Source organism: Homo sapiens, chromosome 5, assembly GCF_000001405.40.
Source record: "Homo sapiens chromosome 5, GRCh38.p14 Primary Assembly".
Taxonomy (NCBI): domain Eukaryota; kingdom Metazoa; phylum Chordata; class Mammalia; order Primates; family Hominidae; genus Homo; species Homo sapiens.
In genome coordinates, this window is record NC_000005.10 from 168,291,418 (window position 1) to 168,317,968 (window position 26,551).

At 49.1% G+C, this 26,551-nt stretch overlaps 1 protein-coding gene across 17 annotated transcripts in view, besides 3 other annotated features; it reads left to right on the forward strand.

Moving 5' to 3' along the window:
- Window positions 1-520: a silencer, noted in NCBI's record as "silent region_16594". NCBI's record gives its function as "represses an Ori minimal core promoter by ATAC-STARR-seq in GM12878 lymphoblastoid cells {active_cell/tissue: GM12878}" and the evidence as "EXISTENCE:reporter gene assay evidence [ECO:0000049][PMID:35858748]".
- Window positions 228-26,551, forward strand: part of WWC1 (WW and C2 domain containing 1) — a 180,659-nt gene continuing 154,335 nt past the window's right edge. For 16 of the 17 annotated variants that reach the window (XM_011534485.2, XM_011534486.2, XM_011534488.2 and 13 more), the window contains exon 1: window positions 228-854. In XM_011534485.2, the coding sequence (XP_011532787.1) occupies window positions 736-854 (119 nt within the window). In that variant the 5' untranslated portion in view covers window positions 228-735. Of the gene's footprint in view, window positions 855-1,288; window positions 4,868-26,551 lie in introns of those variants that run through there. The other variant, XM_047417019.1, reaches the window with a different exon arrangement.
- Window positions 621-1,040: a silencer, noted in NCBI's record as "silent region_16595". NCBI's record gives its function as "represses an Ori minimal core promoter by ATAC-STARR-seq in GM12878 lymphoblastoid cells {active_cell/tissue: GM12878}" and the evidence as "EXISTENCE:reporter gene assay evidence [ECO:0000049][PMID:35858748]".
- Window positions 22,872-23,395: an enhancer, noted in NCBI's record as "H3K4me1 hESC enhancer chr5:167741294-167741817 (GRCh37/hg19 assembly coordinates)". NCBI's record gives its function as "activates a minimal SCP1, AML or CMV promoter by ChIP-STARR-seq in primed H9 embryonic stem cells {active_cell/tissue: H9 hESC(primed)}" and the evidence as "EXISTENCE:reporter gene assay evidence [ECO:0000049][PMID:30033119]".

Here is a 26,551-nt window from a genome sequence, read left to right on the forward strand (position 1 = left end):
AGACAGGAGCGTTTTAAGTACAGGCAGAGCGGTTTTTGGCCCAGCCCCCTAGGTCTGGGACGCAGGTGAGGGGCGGTCTCTCCTTCCCCTGGCAGGGGCAGCGTAAGGGTGGCCGGCGGCTGGGACTGTCCCACGAGGGGGCGCGTCTCGGGCCCTAGGACCCGCCCTCGAGGCGCTGCGCGCGGGGAGGGGACCCGGGAACCCAGGCGCCCGGCGCTCCGCCTCCCGTTTCCGGGGCAGCGCGGTTACCTGCACCGCCCGAGCCGCACCTGGCGGAGGCAGAAGTCACAAACCCGGCGAGCTCAGAGCGGTGGAGCGGAGAGGAGGGACGGCACCCGGCTGCAGGGAGGAGGGAGGCGGCAGCGGCAGCGGCGGCGTGGAGGGCGCAGCGCGCCGCGCGGCGGAGGAGGGCAGACGGCGGCGGCGGCGGCGCTCGGCTCGCTCTGCCCGGCCGGCTGGGCGCGCACCCGGGCTCGCACCGCGCCGCTGCGGACGCACATGGCAGCGTGAGAGGCCGGCGGCGGGAGGAGCGGGCGGCGCCGGGTCGGGGCTGCAGGGCCGCATGGACAGCGGCGCCACCCCGGCCGGCCCCTACTAGGGCCCCCCATCTGCGGGCGCCACCCCCCGGATCATGGTGCCTCGGCGGCCGCCCGGGCTAAGAGCGGCCGGCTGGAGCCGCTGAGCCCCCGCTGCGGCCGGGAGCTGCATGGGGGAGCGCCGGCAGCGCTTGGGAAGATGCCCCGGCCGGAGCTGCCCCTGCCGGAGGGCTGGGAGGAGGCGCGCGACTTCGACGGCAAGGTCTACTACATAGACCACACGAACCGCACCACCAGCTGGATCGACCCGCGGGACAGGTAGGACCCTGGAACCCTCCTCCGTGCCCCCACACCCCCGCCTGGGCCCCCACCTGCCCCTGGAGCCGCCGGCCGGGACTGGGAGGGGGCAGGGGAGCTCTGCGTGCCTCTTGAGCTCTCTTCAGTTCGCCACCCCCTGCTCCCCCCAACCTTCTGGAGCGCTGCTCCCGCCTCAGTGGGCCACCGAGAGGAGGCGCCTGCCGGGGAGCTGGCCCAGGCTGCCCCACCGCCATCCCCAGTTGGAGGACTTAGGCCCCAGCCGGCACCTGCCCGGAGTTTTGACCTTAAGCTCTAGCCCCGCCCGCCCCCTTTAGGAAGAGAGGTCGGGCGGGGGCGGGGGTTGGGGGAGCGACCTAGCCGGGTGAAGCCGGGTCTTCCCGGGGAGGCTTCCACCCAGCGTGGGGGGTGGGCGGATGGGGATGGGGAAGTGTCCGGTTAGAGGGGGTGGTCAAGACCCCAGGATTCCGTGGGAGACCACTGGAGAGAGGGCACTCGGCGCAGAGGAAGGCAACCTGAGGTGTGCTTTTTGACAGGTGCCTTGGAAGCTGCTGAGAACAGCACAGGGGCAGCCAGGGGGCCCTGGAACCCGAGGGTGGGGAGGAAGTGAAGAAGCGGGGGAGGGCAGATGAGGGAGACTGGTTATCCAGGAATCTGGCAGCAACTTGGAAGCTGTTAGGATGGAGATGGAGGTGAGAGGCCTCCCGGAAAGCCTTGCCCCTCGCCTCTTTCTCCTCTCTTTCTTCCCTGATCGGGGAAGGGGGCGGCGAGGCTCCTCAGCCCTGCACCAGCGGGACCTGACCTTGGTGGGTACCAGGCCGCTGTAGGTTGAGATAATGTGCAGAGGCAGATGGAGCCTGAGATAGCTCGGTGTGGCTCTTACCTCTCCAGACTTTCTCCTGGTTGTTTGGCATTTCTTTGCTCACATGCTGCACACACACACATACATTCACCCTCTCCATGTATGTCCTAGAGTCCCCGGACCACGATGTTGTTGACACGGTCTGTGGGCAGAGTGTCTTGGGGAATGCGGACTTTAAACCTTGTCTGTGACCTTGGGGGTCAGGTCCCTGTAAAGCAACCAAGGTGAATTTCTTGGACTCTTCATCTTGTGTGGTGGGGGTGGAGGTGTCCCAGAAGTGTATGTAGCAAGATGTGGGTCAAAAAAAGAATATAAGCGGAAAGAAAATGAGAGTTGAGATTCTCGGTAGTTTCTGGGAGCACTTACTTTCATTCATTCATTCATTCGTTCATTCAGCGCTTCCTGGATGCCTCCTCTACACTCAGCACCATGCTGAATGTCTCATGAATGTAATCTGGAAGGTAAATATTTAGTGCTAGAGAGCATCTCTTAGGCAAGCTGCTTCAACCTCTGAGCCTCAGTTTCCCTGTTTGTCAGATGGGGGAGCCCACCATTTCCCTGAATTTAAAAAGTTTGCTTGGAAGGGAATATTGGGATGCTTAAAACTTGGAAGGGACGTACATCAGCGCCCAACTCCCATTTGAAACATAAGAGAAAATTTGAAGCCCAGAGGTGTGATTTGCTCAAGTATTTTGATTTTTCTGCCATTCTGCGTACCAGTTCTTCACCAGCTCTGAAGTTCTAACCTGCAAACTTGTCACCCTGACACACTGCTTCCCCACCCTTACTCGGGTCAGTTGCCAGCTCTGCTACTGTGTTGGTGAACTTGGCAGCACCTTTTCTCTTGTCCTTTTCTCAGAACAGACACAAGTTCAAACATATGTGACCTGCCCCAATTTAGGTCCCTGTAGTTTACGGAGGCCTGTGTGCTGTTAGCAGGTGGACGTCCTGTTGGAGGGAAAGGACCGCCCCTGCCAACACTGATAATCATGCATCTGGGGACTTCTAATACAGCAATAGGAGGCCCCTCTCAACAGTAATTCTTTACCCTTGGAAAAGGGTAAGTAAGTAGCTTCTATGAAGAACTGATTGGCTGGAGCACAATCTCCCAAATTTTAGTGTTACATGGACCACCTCCATGATTTTTTTTTGCTATATCCACCTGTGCTATTGCTTACTTACTCCTTGACTTTAGATCAACTCACTTTAAAAATATGTGTACCATTTTCACAAATGGGAAACTAGTTATATCTATTGTCATACAGGGGAAACAAAAAAGATAGGCAAACAAAAAAAACAAAAAACCAGGGTTAGTATATTTTAGCTAGGTACTGTGGCCAGCCTAAGGCCACAGCACCTCACCTGCCCAGCCTTTGTTTTTAAGCAGATTGGCAAGCCATGGAGAGGCGGCAGAAACATAGTGGCACTTAGGTGAGCAGCTCACCTTCTTCATCTTGTGTCATTGGTTTTTTTGTTTGCTTTTGGTTTTTTTGTTTATTTGTTTTTGTTTTTTGGAGACAGAGTCTCGCTCTGTCGCCCAGGCTGGAGTCCAGTGGTGCGATCTTGGCTCACTGCAAGTCTGCCTCCTGGGTTCAAGCGATTCTCCTGCCTCAACCTCCCGAGTAGCTGGGACTACAGGTGCACGCCACCACATCCAGCCAATTTTTTGTATTTTAGTAGAGATGGGGTTTCACTGTGTTGCCCAGGCTAGTCTTGAACTCCTGAGCTCAGGCAATCCGCCCACCTCAGCCTCCCAAAGTGCTAGGATTACAGGCGTGAGCCACCACGCTTGGCCTTGGGTCACTGGTTTATAAACTTCATCTCTGTACCTCCTTGTCATCCCACCTGGACTGGGGTGGTATTGGGCCCCTGAACTTGGGGTCCTGAGGGGGTCTCATGTCAACTCTGGGGGTCACTATTGTGGTCCAGCTTTGTATGTTTTGGAAAAGTGCTAATTGGAGGATAGCCACTTGTGGTTTTCTGGAATTTCCCTCCGGCATACCCCATTTTTGCCTTTTAGTTCTGTCTGTGTGGCCTTGGGCAAATCACTTGACCTCTCTGAGGTTTGAGTGCTTGAGAAGTGGGTTGGTTAGATGGTCTTCAAGGGCCTGCCAGCTCTTAAATATTATTTCAAACCCTTCTGCCGCTCTTACCTCTCCAGACTCCATGAGAGGAGAAGGGGGAACAGGGATGGGCTATGAGAAAAAGGAAGAAGAAATTTAACAAAGCTGAAAAGAGCCAAACTTATTCCGGGGGGTGGTGGGTTGGGGAGAAAAAATTCTGCCAAGGTAGTTATATCCCTGCAATTAATTAATGCTGTGAGACAAAAAATTGCACTAAAAATTTCTACTCCGTGTGTGTGTGTGTGTGTGTGTGTGTGTGTGTGTGTTTATTTGCCTTGGATTTTTCCTTACCTGAATCATGGAGATGCCCACCCATTCCCCTGAATTTAAAAGAAGTAAGTCAAATGGTCCTTCAGTCAGAAAAGTGATTTCTTAGCCACCAAGGACAAAATAGCGTCTCTGGTTACCAACCCTAAAGAATGTCTTGGCACATTCCTCCCTCTGGGGCTGAGCTGTTTTGTGTGCTGGCCGGCCAGGAGCTGCTGGGGGTAGGGAATCCAGTTTTCAGCTTCCCCTTTCACCAGGGGGTTGGAAGAGCAGCCAAGCAGCCAGCCTTGCCAACTCTCTCCCCTTCTCACCCAGGGGAAGACTGGGAGGCCGAAATTCCTGAGGATGGTTGTCCCAACAACCGGAGAGGGTCCAGTGGGCAGCTTGGGTCCTGCCCACTGGGCCAAAGGCTCCAGCAGCACCACAGGCTTTTCCTGAGTCAAGGCCAGCCTGGGAAGGTGACAGGCCCTTCGGGAATCAGGTGCTGTGGATCAGGTCTGAACAGCACCTTGGAGCCGTGCTCCTTTTGCGGAGTAACTCTGGGTGCTTTTGTGAGCTCTAGCGAAGGGGCCAGCGTCCTGTGTATTTCACTTCGTGGTATGCAAAACAAATGCACCGATTGTTCTCGGAGGAAGAATAGATCTTTGGGGCTGGCCCTCCCAGAGAAGGTTCCTGCAGCCTGATTCCTTCTTGTTGTGCGATTTGTATTCAGACCTTCTCATAGGAACCACCTGGGAATTCTGGGCAGTTTCTGGGTCTGTATGGTAAGTACCGGAGGCACACATGGCTGGAGAGGCCATGCTGAGAGGATCCAGCAACTTCTCCCATGACTTGAGGATCTTTTGCTAACCCTGTTATTTCAGAAATAATTGATATGGTAGGAAGTCAGGTCTACAGCAGTCAAAAAGTCTAAACCTCTGTCAGGTCACAGACCCTTATGAGACTGATAAAGGTTCAGAACTCTTCCTAGAGAAAAGGTTTTTGCACATAATTTCAGGGACCTCCTGGACCCCAGGTTCATAACCCCTGCCATAGATAAGCTTGGAAATTGCTTGTCACCATGGAAAGGCCTCCTGTTTAGCTAGGTAGCAAATAATGATTGGGTATTTACTATATTCAGGCAGTCTGCTGAGAGCTTTACATAGGTTATCTCTTTAAATCCTCCTAACAACCCTGGGACTAGGTACAATTATTACCCACCTGAACTACCCAATGCTCAGGGAGGCTTGGTAAAGCCCCTCAACCTTTGTGGAGCTGTGATGTGAATACTAGGCGGGCTCACACCAGAACACACATTTCTAACCACTGCCTCATTTTACTTCCTGCTGAGTTAGCTGCAGAATCAAGACCACTGCTCCAGTGCCTAAGGAATTTGGCCTTGGGAAATGGAGCCAAAACAGGCATGATTTCACTTACCTGTGACCATTCTGGTGTGGTCAGGTCATGGGCACCTAGAGGGCAAATGTAGATAAGTGAGTCTTTGGCTCCTGGAATCTTGGATCTGCCACTTGCTACCTGAGTTACCTTGGTAATTGACATATTGTCCCTGAACCTTGCGTTTGCCTTCTAATGAATGGAAAGATGTCCATCAACCATCAAGGGTAGTTATGGGTGATAAGTAAGTGAAGGTAGGTAGGGCAGCAAGCCTGAAGTCTGACATGCAGGGGACACTGAGGAATGCCAGTTCCTTTAACTTTTCCTAGAACGTACCTGTGAAACAGCAGCATCAAATGGATGCTGCATATCTACCCAATTTTGCAGCTGGAGTGGACCTTTCTGTTCGTGAAATCCAGGCCTCTCATTTCACTGATGAAATTGAGAACCAGCCTGGTGCGGTGGCTCATGCCTATAATCCCAGCACTTTGGGAGGCTGAGGCGGGCAGATCACCTGAGGTCAGGAGTTCGAGACCAGCCTGACCAATATGGAGAAACCCCATCTCTACTAAAAGTACAAAATTAGCCAGGCATGGCGGTGCATGCCTGTAATCCCGGCTACTCGGGAGGCTGAGGCAGGAGAATCGCTTGAATCCGGGAGGTGGAGGTTGTGGTGAGCCAAGATCGCGCCATTGCACTCCATCCTGGGCAACAAGAGCGAAACTCCATCTCAAAAAAAAAAAAAAAAAAAAAGAAATTGAGAACCAGAGACAAGTGACTTGCCCAAGGTCACACAGAAAATAAATGCCAACCTCGAGTCTAGTAAAAGTTTCTTTTTTCTCTTTCTCTTATATAAATTTTTTACTAAAAGTCAGATCTATGTCCTTCTCATCAATGATAATAATTCACACATATTTTATGTGCATGGCTGCATTATTCTCCATAATCGTTTTTGATTGTATAGACCAGGAAGTTGCATTCATCGTGCGTCACAATCATTTGTGAGTTGTGTCATAGGAATTTGCTGTATGTCAAATGATTACATTTCCAGTGATTGCAAGTGAATTCCTATTTTTATAATCAATTAAAATGGATTTAGAGTTATTGTCAGTCTAATGTCATATTCCAACAAGCTTTGTTTTATTTTATTTTATTTTATTTTGAGACTGAGTCTTGCTCAGTCACCCAGGTTGGAGTGCGGTGGTGCAATCTCAGCTCATTGCAACCTCTACTTCCCGGGTTCAAGCAATTCTCGTGCCTCAGCCTCCCGAGTAGCTGGGATTACAGGTGCATGCCACCTCACCCAGCTAATTTTTGTATTTTTAGTAGAGACAGGGATTCACCATGTTGGCCAGGCTGGTCTCGAACTCCTGACCTCAAGTTATCCGCCTGCCTCAGCCTCCCAAAGTGTTAGGATTACAGGTGTGAGCCACTGTGCCCCACCCAACAAGGTTTCTTAAGTGAGAGTTATAACCAGTCTGCCAGGGAAGTTACCCAGAACCTCTTTATTCTCCATGCTGCTGCTCTTAATGATCCACTAATACCTGTAGATGTATAATAATAATACTTACATACAAGTGATTAGAGGGCTTTTTATCTTTTTCTGAGGCTTGAGTTTAAGATCTACGTATTCCATGGGAGTCTACCATGCCTGGGAACATCCTATGTCAATTATTAAGAAAGAAATGAGGTTTAAAAACACTAGGATAGATAATAGGGAGAAGCAAGAGATTTGGTAACCCAGAGAAGAATAAAATAATAGTCAATACCAGCATCTATTGAGTGTTTACTCTCTGCTGCCCACTGAGCTAAGCATTCTATTTTGTGACCTCATTTTATCTTTTCAACAGCCATATGGGGTAAGTACTTCAGATGAGGGAACTGAAATTTAGAAAGGTTAAGTAACCGGCCGGGCGCAGTGGCTCACTCCTGTAATTTCAGCACTTTGGGAGGTCGAGGTGGGTGGATCACCTGAGGTCAGGAGTTCAAGACCAGCCTGGCCAACATGGTGAAACCACGTCTCTACTAAAAATGCAAAATATTAGCCAGGTGTGGTGGCACGCACCTGTAATCCCAGCTACTCAGGAGGCTGAGACAGGAGAATCGCTTGAACCCAGGAGGCGGAGGTTGCAGTGAGCTGAGATCGCGCCTCTGCACTCTAGCCTGGGCAACAAGGGCGAAACGCCATCTCAAAAAAAAAGGTTTAGTAACTTGCTCAAGATCACCAACAGGTGTTGCATCCAGGACTGGAGCCCACCTAGCTGGATTCTTGCATCTACACTCATACTAGCTGTAGCCTGGTCTGGCTCTGTCCTGGCTTATTAATCCATCTCAGGGCCCCAGAGTGCCCTGTTGACAGCTGGGCTTGAGAGTTACCATTTATTCTTAAAATGGGTGAACCTGATGTGGATCTCAGGGAGAGACTTTGCTAAGGAGCCTTAACCAGAGAAGCCAGTGAGATCCTCATGGCAGCTTAGGAGACTGTTTGGCATAAACTCCACCTTCTGGGAGCAGCTGGCTAACCAGAGCTTTGGGGATGGGAGAAGAGAGAGAGATGGAGGCAGAGGGACTCTTTGAAGGATGCAGTGTGTACAAGGAGTTCACAGTCCTTTCCAAGTCGCTTGGGTAAATGCTCCCAACAGCCAGGGAATGAGTAGCCAAGGCCGTTCCTCTCTGTCGCCATCCCTCCCCCTCCCGGGGAGAGGGCTTATCCAAACTGACCCAATTTTCCAATTCCCTGGGGTCCCAGATTGCTGTGAGAAGAACACTGCCCTTTTGAAGGGAAGAGAATCAGGTTGCCTTAGTTACCTGGAAGGTTGGCACGCCAAGTTCAGGTGCACGTAAGGAGAAACAGGGCTAGAATAAGTGTGAGTCGAAGGTGGCCACCGTCTTGCTGCACGGTTCCCTCAGTGGCAGAAGCCTTGATCAGGCTTCAGTGGCACTTGCAGGGAATGCCGACCTAATGTCAGGTGGCTGTCCATGACGTGTATCAGGAGCTCTCTCCAGCCACATGTGGTGCTAGGTGATGAGGCTCTGCAGCCTCCAGTTCAGCAAGGGGCCCTGGATAAGAGGAATCCACTTCACTTGGAGAAGTGGCCTGGTGACATCCCTATCACCAGCTCCTCGCTATTTGCTAAGGGAAGCACCTCCACTTGGACAGGGCTGAGGGCTAGATCTGGGCAAAAAACTCCCGTCTTGCCTCTCCCAGCATGGAGATGGCCAGCTGGCTGCACACCTTTAGGTAGAACAGCAAAGGTTCAGTTGCTGCTGCCTCGAATCCGTTTCAGAGTGAGATAAAGAAAGAGAAAACTAAGAAACTGGATACAGTGACATTTTGTTATTAGACCTTCCCCAGCAGGCCATTTAGCCTTTAGTTCCTGAGCAGAAAAATAATAATGGGGTGGCGGGAGGAGGGGGCAGGCGTTCACTGTTGTGTGCGGAGAATATTCTCTAAAGATGCAGGATGGGGAAGAGGGGGTGGAGCAGAGAGTGGGGAGGAGGGAAAGAAAAAGGACAAGTGTGGTGGGTCACATGCCCATTCTCCCCACCCCCCACCCCTTGCCAGTTGCCTGCTCAATGCTTCTACCCATGACATCTCACTGTTGGGAAGAAATGAGATCTTTCAGTTTCAAATGTCTGCCAAAGAAAAGGGACGGAGGCTTAAGTTCTCACTCAATGGTCAGCCAGAAAAAAAAAAAAAAATGAAGCTGCATCAAGATTAGGGACACCTTTGTTGGCTTTTTTTTTCTTCTCTTGCTCCATTCATCACTCTCTGGCAGCGAGGACACCAGGCCAACTGCAGCTGCTGACTTTCCCCAGTCGGCTGCCTGCTGTTGCCCAGGCCTGTTTTGGTAGCAACCCCCACACTGGCTTCCTCCCCGCCCAGTGGTGGTTACTTGTTGGATTCGTCCCTGGGGTAGCCCCTGGGATCCACTGACGGGTAACAGACTTGGAAGGATAAAATGTCAAGATGCAGGCATCAGGTGGCTGCTAGGATGAGATGACCCTGGGACAGCCTTCCAGTCCTACATCTGTCGTGGCTTTTCTTGGAGAGTCGGGCTGTGAGCATTTCACTGTATTCCAGGAATTTCTTCTAAGTGCATTGTTTGTCTTTGTATCACTAACAGTGAGAACAATAACTGGCACCTGGTGATAATGGTGATAAATAATCATGATTGTCTTTAAAGATCCTTATCCATTGTCTGTCACGTGCCAAACACTATTGCTCATCATATTTTTATGGCATTTTGCAAATGAGGAAACTGAGGCCGAGAGACAAGTCAAGTGACAAGCTCATTTTTCCACTATGGAAAAAAATGTGTATGTGTTTGTTGTTCCACCCAAACATGGGATTGCATACCACACGATTCACGATTCCCTGTAGTAGATAAGCTCTCCATAAAGATCATTAGAGGACACTGAGTCAAGTCTGGCTTTGTCACTTTAAAATAGTAAGTGGGACTGGGTGCAGTGGCTGACACCTGTAATTCCAGCACTTTGGGAGGCCAAGGTGGGTGGATCACCTGAGGTCAGAAGTTCAAGACCACCCTGGTCAACATGGTGAAACACCATCTCTACTAAATATACAAAAAAATTAGCCAGGCGTGGTAGCAGGCGCCTGTAATCCCAGCTACTCGGGAGGCTGAGGCAGGAGAGTCGCTTGAACCTGGGAGACGGAGGTTGCAGTGAGTCGAGATTGTGCTATTGCACTCCAGCCTGGGCAACAAGAGCAAAACTTCGTCTCAAAAAAAAAAAAAAAAAGTAAGTGACCTTGAACCAGTTCCTTCTCAGCTATAAAACAAGGATAAGAATAGAACCTACCTACCCCTGAGAGTCATGGTGAGGATATGACATCCAACATAGAAAGTCTTAGCGCCTATCATGCCTTCATATGGGAGCCCTTTCCAGTTAGGCCAACCTACCCTCCTGTGCATTGGTAACGGTAGAGGAACTAAAACCCCTGTTTCTTCCTTGCCAACTCAGGTCTCTTCCTGGCGGGCCATGGCTCACCTGAGCCACACTGACATTAGAGCTCGCAAACCACCTTGGCAGCACTCATTATATGAATCAGTAAACTCCCCTCCTCCCCCAGTCTTATCAGGGGCAAGCCCTTCTTTGGAATTTCTGGAGTGAAGCGACTCTTGCCAGTGAGCTGGCACCAGGGCTGTGTGTGAATCAGGGTAATGAATTGCAGTTGTCATGGCAGAGCTAAAAAGGCTGATGCAGGAACTGGAGGTCTCTGGAACTCATTTGTAACTGCTTTGATATCATGTCCCCTCACTCAGTCTTCCCTTTTGCGCTGTTTGAGAGCTGTTTGAGGACCTGCTGATTTGAGCATGGTGGTGTTGCAGGAAGGGCATTGGCATTTATCACGTCCCACCCAGCGGGGGGTTGGCCATTCACTCAGCAGGTATTTATGGAGTGCCTACTGTGCTCAGACTCTGTTGCCAGAGCGGAGGATCAGAGCAAAGTCCCTGCTGCAATGGGGTGTGCACGCGGGGGATGGAGACTGGGAAATAGTTAAATAGATAAATCGCATTATGACTGGGGGTTTGATGTTCTCTAGAGCTCTTTTAGGAAGGTGGAGGGACAGACCTGGTGACACCTGTCGACAGTGGTGGTGCGGACCTAGATTTGAAGCCGGGAGACCTTGAGGCCTTTAGTAGGATGTTATCAAGAGCCTATTGTGGTGAGGTGGGCTAATTGCTGGGAGTGCAATGGTGATACACAATAGAGTCTCCAACTCGTAGAATTTACTACAAATTAGTGAGAGGCACAGCTAGTCAAGGAGCTGTGCAAATATAGTAGAAATACCAGGCTCTCTGAGTCTGTTTTTCTTCCTCTCCTGTTTCATCTGGACACGTTCAGTCATTTAACAAATATTTGTTGGATAGTGTACCTGTAATATGCCAGGCATTGTTTTGGCACTGGGGGTTCAGCAGGGATTAAACCAACAAAAATCCTTGTCCTCATGGAGCTTACTTTCAAATGCAGTGTTTGTCAAACTTGAGGAAACATCAGAACCACCTGGAGGTCTTGTTAAATACTCAGTTTGAGTCAGTGGATCTGGATGGGGCCCAAGAATGTGCATTTCCTGCAGGTCCCCAGATGATGATGCTGGCTTGACCCAACTCATACCAACCAACTAATACACTGACTCATTGACTCCTTATAATAACCTAGGAGAGGGTACTCAATTATCCCCGTTTTGCAGACAAGGAAACTGAAGACAAACGAAGTAACTTCGTCCTCCCTATGCTAAGAGGGCTAAAGAAAATGGTCTCATGAGCCAACACTGTCTACCTGCATCACTGTGATTATGAGGACCATATATCATGTTCTTTTGTTTTGCTGACCAAAGCCTGACCAGTAGCAAAATCCTGTGGGTTTTTCTTGTTCATTAAGAAATAAGGCACAGGAGGCCAGGTGTGGCAGCTCACACCTATAATCCTAGCACTTTGGGAGTCTGATACAGGAGGATAGTTTGAGCCCAGGAGTTTGAGACCAGCCTGGACAAGAAAGTGGGATCTCACTTTCTTGCCCATCTCTACAAACATTCAAAAAATGAGCTGGGCATGGTGGTCCACACCTATAGTCCCAACTACACCAGAGGCTAAGGTGGGAGGATCGCTTGATCTCAAGAGGTCAAGGCTGCAGTGAGCCATGTTTACATCATTGCAGTCCAGCCTGGGTGACAGAGTGAGATCATCTCAAGAAGAAAGCAGGCAAGCAAGGGGAAGCAGCCAATCTAAGGGGATTCCAGAAGACCGAAGGGACTTCTCTTTCATTAGAATGTATAGAATTTGTATTTTCATGGCCACAGCAGGATCAGAGGAAATTGCCCTCCCTGTTTCTCAGTGGAACTGAGCCAGGACTCCCCTGCGCTGAGCTGCTCGGGAGAGGAAGGGTCCCTGGGCTCCTTCACCCCAGGGGACTTTCCCTACTTCAACTCCAGGAAGTGCAGGGAGGTGGTTTTGAGGAAAAGCAAATCCCTCCTCTCATGGAATCCTCACTTCAGCCCTCTAGGGAGGCCTTATCCACCGCTATTCCCCTAGACCACTGCTTCAGCTTTACATACCTTTGTCACTTGCTGGTTCTGTGACCTTGGTCAAAGTTACTTATATCTTTTTGAGCCTTCATTTCTTCACCGGCAAAATGAGAATAAATTAGAATCCATCTCATAGAGTTAGTAATAATCACATTAGACATCTCTCATTATATTCAAGTTCCACTGACCAGGCAGTTCTAATGGCAGCCATTACAGTCCCCATAATATATTTGATAACTTTCTCTATAGTTACAGAGTTACTGCTCAATTCGTTTATTTTGAGGACCAGATTTTTTGGATGTAAACCACTTCTTGTTTCTCTCTGAGCAAAATGTCCCCTGGAAAAACTGGTCATGCCTAAGAAGATAGACTTCTTCCTAGTAGACAATGACTTTTGCTGGACAGGAATATTAAGAAGTGTCTTAATAGCTCAAGGAGTTTCAAAACAAATGTAAGTGGTTTATTTCTATTGCTGATATAAAACAAACATTTACCAGCAGCCAGTGGAGGACCTTGGGTTTTTCTTCAGCCTCTTCACTGGTCACGAGGCCCTCTAAGGTTTTTGCCCTCGTACAATGGTTCTTCAGTGTGGCTCCAGACCAGTATATCAGCTTCACCTGAGAACCTGTTAGAAACACATTCTCATGTCCCATGTCAGACCAACTGAATCAGAAACTCTGGGGGTACAGCTCAGCAATCTGGGTTTTCATGAGCTCTCTGGGTAACTCTGCTGCCCACTCAAGTCTGTAAACCACTGGCTAAGTGCACCCAGAAAGACCTGAGATATTTTGTTAGTGGTTGAATGGCAGACGCTGGCCAGGATTGCAGAATCGCCTGAGCACAGGTGCACACAGCCAGTTGAAATGGTCTTAATTAGCTTATGAACTTTTTTTTTTTTTTTTTGAGGTGGAGTCTCACTCTCACCCAGGTTGGAGTGCAATGGTGCGACTTCAGTTCACCGCAACATTTGCCTCCTGGGTTCAAATGATTCTCCTGCCTCGGCTTCCCGAGTAGCTGGGATTACAGGCATGTGCCACCATGCCCAGCTAATTTTGTATTTTTAGTAGAGACAGGGTTTCTCCATGTTGGTCAGGCTGGTCTCGAACTCCCAACCTCAGGTGATCCACCCGCCTCAGCCTCCCAAATGCTGGAATTACAGGCATGAGCCACTGTGCCTGGCCCAGTATTTTTTTTTTTTTTTTTTTAGTAGAGATGGAGTTTTGCCATGTTGGCCAGTCTGGTCTCAAACTCCTGACCTCAGGTGATCTGCCTGCCTTGGCCTCCCAAAGTGTTGGGATTACAGGCATGAGCCACTGCGCCTGGCCAACTTAGGAACATTTTTAATATCATTCCCAAATCCTTGCTGGCCACTCTGAACCTCCACACTCCCTTCTCCAGGCCCTCACCATCGCCTCACGTCTTCTTGGCATTAAGATTCAGCTTACAAATGAAGTTTAGAAACACCTTCCCCACCTCCCCAGCCCAGGCTCCATAGCATCCTGTGCCGTAATAGAATGGCATAATTTCCTGCGTCTTTTCTATTCTTGGTTAATGGATAGCTCAGTGGCTGGCATGCAGTAGAAGCACATTAAGCCAGGGTTGAATGCTCCCCGGGTCCGGAGTTTTGGATTCTGTTTCTGGCCCTTCCTCTTAGCAGCAAACCACTTAACCTTCCTGAGCCCTGGTTTCCTTAGCTCTGCAATGGACGAATAAGGAGTCTTGATCTCCTTTCTACAAGGAGATGAGGAGGTGTCTTTGGAGCTGGGGGAACAAAAGGAACAGTTAGTGGTTCCCAGCTTCTGCTACATATTAGACTCGTCAGATCACTGGAGGGGACAACTAAAAATACCCATGCCTGGCCCACCCCCAAAGATTCTGGTTTACTTGGTCTGTGGTATGGCCTGAGCATGGAATTTCTAGAAAGTCCCTAGTTAATTCTAGGTTGCAGCCAGATTGGAGAAGCATAGCTGTAGGTAAATATCTGCCTTCCTTACAAACATTTGTAGAGTTTGAATGAGATTAAATGAAAGTACCTTGTAAAGGGGACAAGTGCCATAGGAATATGAGATATTTTAAAACCTAATATGTATAGTTTTACTTGGAAAAATTGAGATGATTCAGGAAGTATTTAAAAAATAGTTGCAGGAGGTGGAGAAGTAAATATCTGGGAGATGGCCGGGTGCAGTGGCTCACGCCTGTAATCCCAACACTTTGGGAGGCTGAGGTGGGCAGATATGTGAGGTCAGGAGTTCGAGACCAGCCTGGCCAACATGGTGAGACCCTGTCTCTACTAAAAATACAAAATTGACCAGGTGTAGTGGCACACTCCTGTAATACCAGCTACTCGGGAGGCTGAGGCAGGGGAATCGCTTGAACCCAGGAGGCAGAGGTTGCAGTGAGCTGAGATTGTGCCATTGCACCCCAGCTTGGGCTACAGAGCGAGACTCCATCTTAAAAAATAAAAATAAATATTTGGGGGAATGTCAGTTACCTTGCTGTTTGGTAATTTCCCCTCTTCTATGCCTATCTTCTTATTTTTTTCCTGATGGGTGAAGAATCAAAGATATTTGGGCTCCTTTTGCCATAATGTGAAAATCTTCAACTCCCACTGCAGCAGTAATGCTTTTGAATAAATTGATCTAAGCTGCTTTATTTTCTATTTATTTGTTTTTGAGACAGAGTCTTGCTCTGTGGCCCAGGCTGGAGTGCAGTGGCACAATCTCAGCTGACTGCAACCTCTGCCTCCTGGGTTCAAGTACTTTTCTTGCCTCAACCTCCTGAGTAGCTGGGATTATAGGCATGCACCACCACACCCAGCTAATTTTTGTATTTTTAGTAGAGATGGGGTTTCGCCATGTTGGCCAGGCTGGTCTGGAACTCCTGACCTCAGGTGATCCACCCATCTTGGCCTCCCAAAGTGCTGGGATTATAGGCGTAAGCCACCACGCCCAGCCAGTCTAAGCTACTTTAGAGTTGTAAGCCTGGGGGCTAGGCCTTCCTTTCATTTGCTGAACCTGGTTTGGATTTTATGCACATAATCTACATCTTCGAGACTCCAAGAAAATGGGTTGCAGACACTACCACCATATAGATCGCAGCCTGTGGACAGGAACTAATAATTGCTAATATTTATTACAACTCTAGGTTGTGCCAAGCTCTGGGCTGTGTGCTTTGAATGCATCGCCCAGTTTAATTCTCATAGCAACCCTATGAGGTAAGAACCATCTCCATTCTGCAGATGAGGAAATTGAAGCTTAGAAAGTTGAAAACTTGCCCAAGGTTGCGTAGCTAATAAGTGGCAGAACTGACATGCAAAACCAGTCTGTCTGCCCCCACAGATGCATGTTCTTTACCATCACGTAGGTCAGGCCAGGATGTCAAGGAGAGCAACCCCGAACTAGTCCTGGTGATTTAGACTAGAGCGTCTTTCACTGCTGTGATTCCTTCATTGGCACTTTCTTCCAGTTGTACAGTGTCTGTCTTTGCTTGGTCTTTGCTTGTTCTACCCTTAGTTTAGCAGATATCCCTCTCTCCATGAACAAGGTGAGTGAGCTCTTTTTCTGAGTACATTTGGTTTTTCAAAATCCCTCCAAGGAATCATTTCCTTGACCAAATGCCCTCATCTGTGGTGGCGATCAACATCTTTGATTTTACCCTTTTTTTTTTTTTTTTTTTAAATTGAGACAGAGTCTCGCTCTGTTGTTCAGGCTGGAGTGCAGTGGTGCGATCTTGGCTCACTGCAACCTCCGCCTCCAGGGTTCAAGCGATTCTCCTGCCTCAGCCTCCCTAGTAGCTGGGACTACAGGTGCCTGCCACCACACCCAGCTAATTTTTTGTATTTTTAGTAGAGTCAGAAGTGGGTTTTCACCATGTTAGCCAGGCTGGTCTCGATCTCCTGACCTCGTGATCTGCCCACCTTGGCCTCCCAAAGTGCTGGGATTACAGGTGTGGGCCACCATGCCCGGCCAATTTCACCCTTCTTTTTATGGACTGTTCTGCTCAAGGGGTCTCCATCTGCTTATTTGGTATGAAAGGCTTCGTGAGAACCAAGTTTGCCTTTGACTGTTTGGTGCCTGAACGGCCTGTGGGCTTGGTCTGCAGCATTCCTGCTTGCCCAATAGAACATCCTTCAGAAAGAATGTGTGTTTAGGGTTCACTCACTAGAAGTCAAGTGGGTCTTCAGTCTGAGCCTTGCAAGCAGGAGGTGGCTTTAGCCGTGCATGGGTTACCTTCCACTTCTGCAGCACATTGGTTAAAACTGAAACCAAAGAAAGCCATCCCTTCTTTGAGAACTGTGCTAGGAAAAGGCAGAGCAGTGAATTGCTGTCACCCTACATGGATCTTACAGACAAATAATAAAAACAAGCAAAATAATTACAGATTAGGAAAATCAGAGCATGCTGGATTGGAAAATAACAGGCCTTGTCACTGGCTCCAAAGGTCAGAGGATAAAGTTAGAAAGTTCTGTAGTCAGAAAAACTGAGTTTGCTTTTAGCTTTAAATAAAATACATCTATAGTGATGCCTCTTCAACTGGAGTTTTCATCATTTTGCGCAGGAGTTCATGGCACTTTATTGGCAACAAGCAATGTTTTTTTCTTGACCTTGGCAGAGGAGCTCTCAAGGCAGTGTCATCTGTTGGCCACGTGCATCTGAACTTCTAAAGAGAGTGGCTCAAATGCAGGTTCCAAGGCCCTACCCCAGTCAGAATCTCTGGAGGTGGAACCCAGACTCCACATTTGTAAAGAGAACCTCCAAGTGATTTTGATGGAATCTTCAGTTTGAGAACCACTGATCAAGGGAATAGATTTGTGCCAAATTGCAAATCAATGTAGAGACCCAGCTAGAATCCCTTCAGCCTCCTCCACAACCTGGCCCACTTCTTGGTCCTCACATCAAAACAATCTCTTCCTTTCTTCAGTCTTTCATGGACTTTCAGTTCTCCAGTATGCTCAGGGGCTCCCTCTCCAAGAAGAAGTCTTCAATCTGCAAACCCCACCTGGTGCCCCTTTACCTGAAGAACATAGAAGAGTCCCACATCCACTGCCTCCACTGCCCCCATTCATGCCTCAGCACCTCCATCCCTCCTTCTCCCACCCCAGCCTCAGAGCGAGGTTCCAGAAGTGTCACCAGGGGCCACACAGTGGTATCCTCCTTGACCTCCTGTAGCACCTAGCAGTGCTCCCAACTCCCTTCCTTTACAGGGTCATCCTCATCCAGAGGAGGTGGGGCATTTTGCACTCTTCTCCCTCTTTGCTCTTCCCTAGGGGTGTCCTGTGTCCCCAAGCCTTCAACCACATCCTTTGCCATGAAGCCTCCGGTGCCCATTTCTGGGTACCTACTGGACATTTCTGTGTCTAGACAAGCACCGCAAACAACAAATCGAAAATTGAATCCAGTCCTGGTCTCAAACAACTTTGCCTCTGGCCTTTTTTGCCATTACCGTGAGACGGTATCTCTGTAATGATTACAACATAGGCATGGTTCCCATGCTTAAGGTCCAAAGGGTGCATAGTGGAATGTAGATCTTCCTCACACCTGGTCCCTACCTACCCAGCCCCCTCTCCACAGGCAGCCCCTATTTCCAGAAACATCCATCTCCATTCCTTCTTCCTTCATCTAGCTGCCAAGTTCTGCCACCCTTTCTTTTGCAGGCTCTGACACCTCATTCCTTTTCTGTTTATTCCTATAGAAGCTTAGTGGAAAATAGACCCCTCTCCCTCTGTCTTAGAAAATAGAGACCTCTCCCTCTGTCTTAGTAGAAAATAGACACCTCTCCCTCTAAGTAGAACATAGAGACCTCTCCCTCTGTCTTAGTAGAACATGGAGACCTCTCCCTCTTTGCTCTTCCCTAGGGGTGTCCTGTGTCCCCAAGCCCTCAACCACCTCCTCTGCCATGAAGCCACAGGTGTCTGTTTCTAGGTACCCACTGGACATCATTTCTGTGTCTAGACAAGCACGACAAACTACAACAAATCGAAAACTGAATCCCATTCTGGTCTCAAACAACTTCGCCTCTTGCCTTTTCTGCCATTACCATGAGAGGGTACCAGCTCAGTCTAACACAACCCAGCGCTGACCAGCCCTCCCCCTTCCCTGTCCCCTTGGGGTGCTGGGGGACACACTGCTGACCTTCTCGAAGCTGGTCTCACCCTTATCTTCTAAGCATCTCATATTTTGCCTCACTTTCCTCATCTGTAAGAATGAGAATGATAGTGTTTACTTCATCCTATTTTTAAGTGTCTTAAGAAGACCTTTCCCCTGTAATATTTTTGTATCTCTTTAATTTTAATATTTCAAACATATAGGAAAATTTCAAAAATAGTACAAGAAATTTCCATATACCCTTTACCCAGATTTACCAGTTTTTTTGCGTTGACCATTTACCTTATATTCTCTTATTCTTTCTCTCTGAATATATTATATATAATTATTTATCTAAACCATTTAAATTGTGTGTGTGTATATATATATATACACCCCATTTCTGTATCTCTGAGTATATATAATGTATCCAAAGATATAGAAATTGTACATATAATGTATATCATTTATAGATATATATAAAATATTTATGTACAAACAAACACCATTTAAGAGTAAGTTGGAGGCCAGGCACAGAGTGGCTCATGCCTGTAAATTCAGCACTTTGGGAGGCCAAGGTGGGAGGATAGCTTGAGCCCAGGGGTTCAAGACCAGCCTGGGCAACATAGGGAGACCTCTGTCTGCACAAAAAATAAAAGAATTAGCCAGGCATAGTAGTGCATGCCTGTGGTTCCATCATCTTGTGGAATGCTGAGGTGGAAGGATCACTTGGACCCAGGGGGTCGAGGTTGCCGTGAGCCATGATTGTGCCACTGCACTCCAGCCTGGGTGACAGAGGGAGACCCTGTCTAAAAAAAAAGCATAACTTGGAGATACGTTTCTTTTTACTGCTAAATACATTGGTGTGAATTTCCTAAGAAATAAGGTTGTTCTCTTACATAACCACACTAGTTCATGCAGTTTTTATGAGGATTAAACTGAATAAATAAAGTAAAGCACTTTGCAGAGTGCCCATCACCCTTGCAGGTGCCAATAATTGGTAGCCATGGTTGCTGAGTTCTCTTCATTGGTCCTTGGCTTCTAGCCTACCTGGGTTGGTGTCAGTTCCCAAGCATGCCCTACACTTTGCCATTCTTCCTGCTGGACTGCAGCTCACCAGCCCCACCTGTATGCATTGACTCCTCCCCTCCCCTCCCAGGCAGCACCTAGTGCCTCCTGCTCCATGGGACATCTGTCATCTGCCTCCCTCCCTACTTCCAGCAGGAAGGGGTCTGCTTCAAGTCAGGCCCTTTCTGGTCGAAGGCTACAGAGGCCCATACAAGATGGCTCTGGAAAAAAGCACAGGAATCTCAGGCAAGGAATAGCGGCCCCTGCTGCTGGGCAGGTGCGGGCTGCAACAGGGAGGTGTGAGGAACCGAGGCAGCAGCATCTCCCCACACCTCCCTCTATACCTACCCACCTATGTCATGGTTTCCTCTGCCTCCTAAAACCCTCATTTATGAGTCAGTTCTGCCTCTTACTAGCGTGTGACCCTCGGCAAGCTGCTTAATCACTTTGAGCCTGTTCCCTTGCTTTGTAAAAATAAGGCTAAGGGTAATAATAGACCAGGCACAGTGGCTCACGTCTGTAATCCCAGCACTTTGGGAGGCCAAGACAGGTGGATCACCTGAGGTCAGGAGTTCAAGACCAGCCTGGCCAACATGGCAAAACCCCATCTCTACTAAAAATGATATACAAAAAATTAGCTGGGTGTGGTGGCAGGTGTTTGTAGTTCTAGCTACTCAGGAGACTGAGGCAGGAGAATTGCTTGAACCTGGGAGGCAGAGGTTGCAGTAAGCCGAGATTGTGCCACTGCACTCCAGTCTAGGCAACAGAGCAAGACTCAGTCTAAAAAAAAAAAAAAATTACAAAAATTAGCCGGGCATGGTGGCGCACACCTGTAATCCCAGCTACTCAGAAGGCTGAAGCAGGAGAATCTCTTGAACCTGGGAGGCAGAGGTTGCAGTGAGCTGAGATCGTGCCACTGCACTCCAGCCTGGGTGACGGAGCAAGACTCAGTCTAAAAAAAAAAAAATACAAAAATTAGCCAGGCATTGTGGTGCATGCCTGTAATCCCAGCTACTCAGAAGGCTGAGGCAGGAGAATCACTTGAACCTGGGAGACAGAGGTTACAGTGACCGAGATTGCACCATTACACTCTAGCCTGGGTGACAGAACGAGACGCCGTCTCAAAAAAAAAAAAAGGAACAATAACCAAGATTTTATTGAGTGCAAAGCACAGTTCTAACTGTTTTATATTTATTAGCTCAACTAACCATCATACCAACCTTCTGAGAAAGGTACTAATATTGTCGTTATTTAGAGATGAAGACGTGGCGGCACAGGGGGATTGAGTAATTTGCCCAAGGTCGCACAGCTAGAAAGTGGCAAAGCCAGGATTCAAGCTCAAGTTGTCTGGCTCCAGAGCTTGTGGTCTTAAACTGCCATCTACTTTGAAGGGTTGTTGTGAGAATTAAGCATGGATTATCTTATTTAAGGCATTTAGCAGAGAAGCAAGGCTCATCATAAATGCTTTAAAATGTTAATGGTTATTACAGTATCACAGCATTAGTTTGCAGGTGACCGCAATGGACTTCATGGCCCCAGCCTATGCCTCCTAACCCTTCAGCTCAGCTGCTGCAAATCATGAGAGATGCTGAGTTGAAAATATCACAGAGCCAGCCTTGAGCTGGACTATCACTTGGTACAGGAGACGTCAGGGGTCATGTGGTGCCAACCGCAGCAGCTGCCCACTCAGGGTAGGTCATGGGTGACTGGTATCCTAAGTACTTTTTTTTTTTTTTTTTTTTTTTAGAGTCTAGCTCTGTTGCCCAGGCTGGATTGCAATGGCATGATCTCTGCAACCTCCATCTCCCAGACTCAAGTAATTCTCCTGTCTCAGCCTCTCGAGTAGCTGGGACTACAGGCGTGTGCCACCACACCTGGCTAATTTTGTATTTTTAGTGGAGACAGGGTTTCGTCATGTTTGCCAGGCTGGTCTCGAAGTCCTGACCTCAAGTGATTCACCCGCCTCGGCCTCACAAAGTGCAAGGATTACAGGCATGAGCCACTGTGCCCAGCCTAAGGACATTCTTTCTCAGAACTTTGAAAGTAAATTGCTCTGAATGCTCATGGCAGTTCACAGGGCCTGGTGGTTTCTGCCTCAAACCCCTGTGGCAAACTCCTGTTTGTCTGTGTGATTCCTACCCTCTTGCTACTTGAAGTGTGGGCCGTGGACCAGCACGTCAGCATTGCCTGGGAGTTTATTAGAAATGCAGAATCCCAGCCGGGCACAGTGCTCATGCCTGTAGTCCCAGAACTTTGGGAGGCCGAGATGGGTGGGTCACCTGAGTTCAGGAGTTTGAGACCAGCCTGGCCAACATGGCGAAACCCCGTCTCTACTAAAAATACAAAAATTAGCCAGACGTGGTGGCGGGCATCTGTTATCCCAGCTATTCAGGAGGCTGAGGCAGGAGAATTGCTTGAACCCAGGAGGTGGAGGTTGCAGTGAGCCGAGATTGCACCACTGCACTCCAGCCTGGGTGACAGAGCGAGACTGTCTCAAAAACGAAAAAAAAAAAAAGCAGAATCCCGGGCTGCACCCCAGATCCCCTGAATCAGAATGTGAATTTTAACCAGATCCCCAGAGGTACTTACGCATGTTAACATTGAGTAGCACTGACTATTCAATACTACTTCTGTTGTTTTTCTTTTTTTCTTTTGTGGCTGCCTGTGCCTCTTTCTAGTTCAGATTTAGGGCACACTACATACTTGTGGTATCAATAAACAGTGGACTTTTACAACCAGCTATAAATACTATCTAGAGAAAGGAGCTTCGCAGCTTATTCCCAGAGCCCCATGTGAAATAAGAGATTGAAGCCGGGTGGGGCGATGGAGCTCAATTGATAGGGGTTCACACCTGCAGAGAAAATGCAAGGTCCTGAGGTCTCAGTGCATCTACCAAGAAGGTCAGGTGCCAAAGGTCAGAGCAGTCTCAGGCTATGCAGGAGGTCACCAGGGCTACAGAACACGGGACAGCGGATGAGGGCCAGCCAGAGGTGGGAGCACTCATGGCAGGGTGGTGCCTGTTGGCTCTAATAAGCAATGAGGTGGCAGGCACAGAGGCAGGATTTCAGTCCTCAGAGAACAGAGGGAAGAAAAGGACAAGGAGGAACTGGAGTCTACAATAAGTTTCCCAGGCAGGGAGTTGAGCTGGCAAAGTAAGTCACAGGCTGCCTGGGAGAAGTATTGATGTGAGGGGGCCAGGCATGGTGGCTCATGCCTGTAATCCCAGCACTTTGGGAGGCTGAGGCGGGTGGATCACCTGAGGTTGGGAGTTCGAGACCAGCCTGACCAACATGGAGAAACCCCATCTCTACTAAAAACACAAAATTAGCCAGGTGTGGTGGTGCACACCTGTAATCCCAGCTACTCAGGAGGCTGAGGCAGGAGAATCACTTGAACCCAGGAGGCGGAGGTTGCAGTGAGCCGAGATTGCGCCATTGGACTCAAGCCTGGGCAACAAGAGTGAAACTCCATCTCAAAAAAAGAAAAAAAAAGGAAAGAAATATTGCTGTGAGGGGACTAGCACAATGATGCCTTGGGCCAAGGCTTTGGTTGGGTGAGCTGGGACCCCTAAACATAAACCCTGGCCCCAGCCAGGGGGAACCTGAGCCTGGAGCAGTCCTGGGAAGCCAGAGGTGGGCTCCAGGTGTGGGACTGGGTACAGGTGGGGACAAGGAGCCATTCACGGGCTGCAGAGAGAGTCTGAGAGGCTCGTGAAGCAACTAACCTTTCCTGGCATGAGGGTGGCAGGAGGTGTGGCCAGATTCCAGAGGGCTTTCCCATCAGGGATTAGGACACTGCCCTCGCCAGGCCCTGGCTCACCTGTGCACAGCATTTTATCGGAAGCACGGACCTTGCCCCAACACATTCCTGAGATAACACTCCCCCGCCCGTCTCAGAAGACACTCAGTCCGTTGGTGTGAGGGAGGCTGCTGACACCCCCCAGATTCATTTCCAGTTTGTTTGACGTTGGCATGTATGTCTGTGTAACATGACTGAAGAACGAGTCATTAGTGAGCTGTCCAAAGTCCCTTTGGGAACATTCCAGGAAAATAAACCAATATTCCATCAAAGCCACAAATAACTTTTTTTTTTTTTTTCCATTCCTTCAAAGCAGGCTTTCTCAGAGTGTGGTCCACAGACTTCCTGCTTTAGACTCCCCAGAGGAGCTTGTAAAATGCAGATTCCTGGGCCGCCACCCTAAGCCTACTGAATCAGAATCCCAGTGGGGCTTCTGGGAACTGCATTTTTATATGCTACCCAGATGATTCTAATACACCTTAATCTCGAAAACCTCTCACTCTCTTTGCCCCTTTGCTTGATCGTTCCTTTGTGTCAACACCGTGTGCCCGCTGCGCTCTGATACTACCTCCCTGTGCTGCCCCACCTGGTGAACTTCAGCTGAAGGGCCACCTCTCCCTGGGAGCCTTCCTTGCCATCTTTGTCCCATCTTGTGTAGGGGCCCACTGTGTTTTCTCCTAATATGAATCTACCACAAAGTAGTAGTTTCTTTCTGCCTGACTGCTCCCCTGAATGGGGAAGCATCCTGCCCAGTCTCTCCAGGCCCAGCAGAAAGTTTTGCCTATAATTGGTACTAAGAAAGGAATCAGTGCAAGTGAAGGGTGCTGAGCGGCAACGGAAGGGCTACAGAGTAGGGGTGACGAATGGTCGCTTCCCGTTAAGAAGCTGTCACCTTCTGACTCCTCTCCTGGTGAGTCTGAACTCCTAGGTCAAGTCTGGGGCCAGAGGGCGAGCATCAGACCCAAGAAGAGGCCAAGGCTCTGGCTGGCAGGAGGCACAGCCCACCTGTTTGGGACTGCGGTGTCCCTGGTGTAAGCTCAGATCCCTGTCTGTATTTCAGGGAGACTCCATAGCTTGACATTCTTCCTGCTACAGAAAAACAGATGAAAGAACAGTTTTCCAGTCCCAGGGCTGACCCCAAACCCAGGACAGCTAGAATGCTCAGGCCTCCCCCCTCTTTTCAGGCAGGAGAAGCTGAAGAATAGAACTATTGGACCATGAAACTCCCAAGAGTCCTTCCCCCTCAGCGTTTCTCAGAATTTGCGACCACGATTTTCTCTGTGAGGCTCGCAATTGCTATTTGCCAAACTGGTAACTGTTGACCCAACAGAAATCAAACAAAGATACCAGCAGCCCCAGACAGGCTGTCTTCATCGCATCAGTGAAGGGAGAGCAGGTGCCTGGGATCGAAAGGACATTGTCCATCACCTGGCTCTGAAAAACAAAATGCATTTCCTTATTCTTAACAAGCTGAGCACCAGAAACCTGCTTTACCAGTCCAGGGTGCCTCCTGGAAGCTGGCTCGCTTATCTGCATGTATGTGAGGGCTGGGGGTGTTTTTGTGGGGCTGGCTCCGGGCAGGGTGGCTTTGGAAAGGAGAGGCCTGACCTAGCGAGACTCTAGGGTCAGCCCAGACTGCTGTGACCTCAGGGGACTCAGCCCAGGAGGTCCAGGTGAGGGCAGCCTGCCCTCTACGTCTGCAGTAGGTGAAGAACCCCTTGGTTACTTGAAGAGAAAGAAAGGACTGGCTGGGTTGTAGGCAGCAGGGCCGAGCAGCTGAGGGCTAAGTGCACAGCAGGCCCTAGCAAATGCTTCTGGAATTGAATTGGTCCAAGGGGAGACTCCAGCTTTAGTTCAACATGGGCTGTATCCGAATCCTTCTGAAATTTGCTGGGATTCCATGAGGGAGTCAGGTATTACAAGGTTTTGGCAATTACTGAGTTTCTTTTGTGCTTTTTTCTTTATGAGAATGTTGTTTCTGAACCCATTCCCTTTCTCTTCCCTTCTCACCAAATTACACTTGATTTGCCTCCAGGAAGAAAATAGTACATTGTTATCATTTGGTCAAGATTTCATATTCAAAAAAGAGTAAAGTGACAATATAGTTCAAAAATCTTGTTAGATGCTGTGGAAACCTCACCCGGCAGTAGTGATAGCTGCCACGTACTGAGGGATTTTATAGACATTTACATTTTCACTTGTCCTCACCTTCCAGATGAGGCAGCTGTGGCCCAGAGAGGTTAGGGAACTTACCGAGGTCACACAGCAAGTTGGCAAGAGGGTTGGGGTTTCAGTCTGGGCTCTCTGACTTCGCAGCCAAGTGCCTGCCAGTGCTGCATTGTCTCAAGGTATTTGGCGTGTTGATGTGACATCACTCACCCTCCTTGAGTTCTCTGACATTTCTCAGAGCGTTTGTCTGTGTGTCCTGATTTGAGAATTAGTTAAGCTCTCGCACTCTCCGGGGTGCAGTGCCTGGAATTCAGGCACTGGAGGAAGTCCTGCCTCCTTCCTGGAGCTCGCAGCCAGATCCCACAGATCCTGCTCTGTTGGACAGTGAGGATGGGAGGTGTGGCCCAGGGGTTGGCAGGATGGTAGTGGGGTGCAGAGTAGACAGGGCTGCGATGACTCTCCAGACCCATGCTTCTTGTCAGTTCCCAGGCACTGAACCCAGGACTTCCCCCACCAAGGCATCCTGTCCTATTTCCCCCATTGCCTCCTGCCCTCTTAGGATATACAGCTATTGAGAAATGTGAACACAGAGGCCTTTTCAGAGAGAAAGAAGTCCTGCTCCTCAGTATTCCCAGGATCCTAGCTTACTGGAGAGATTAAAAGGCTGGATTATGTGGGAAGGAGAGGCAAGTGGACTGGGACAGTTTAGATCTAATTGCCTAATGACTCCTAGAATATGTCCTTCCAGATGTCCTCATTTTCATTCAGAGTCACTGCCTGCCTTTGTGAGAGGTCATACAGTGTTGAATGATGCGTTATCAGTGTAATGCAATAGCCCAGTGACGTCATGAAAATCCTGGCTTTCTGAGAACACGTTCACAGATAGGAATGCAGTGCTGGAGAGACCC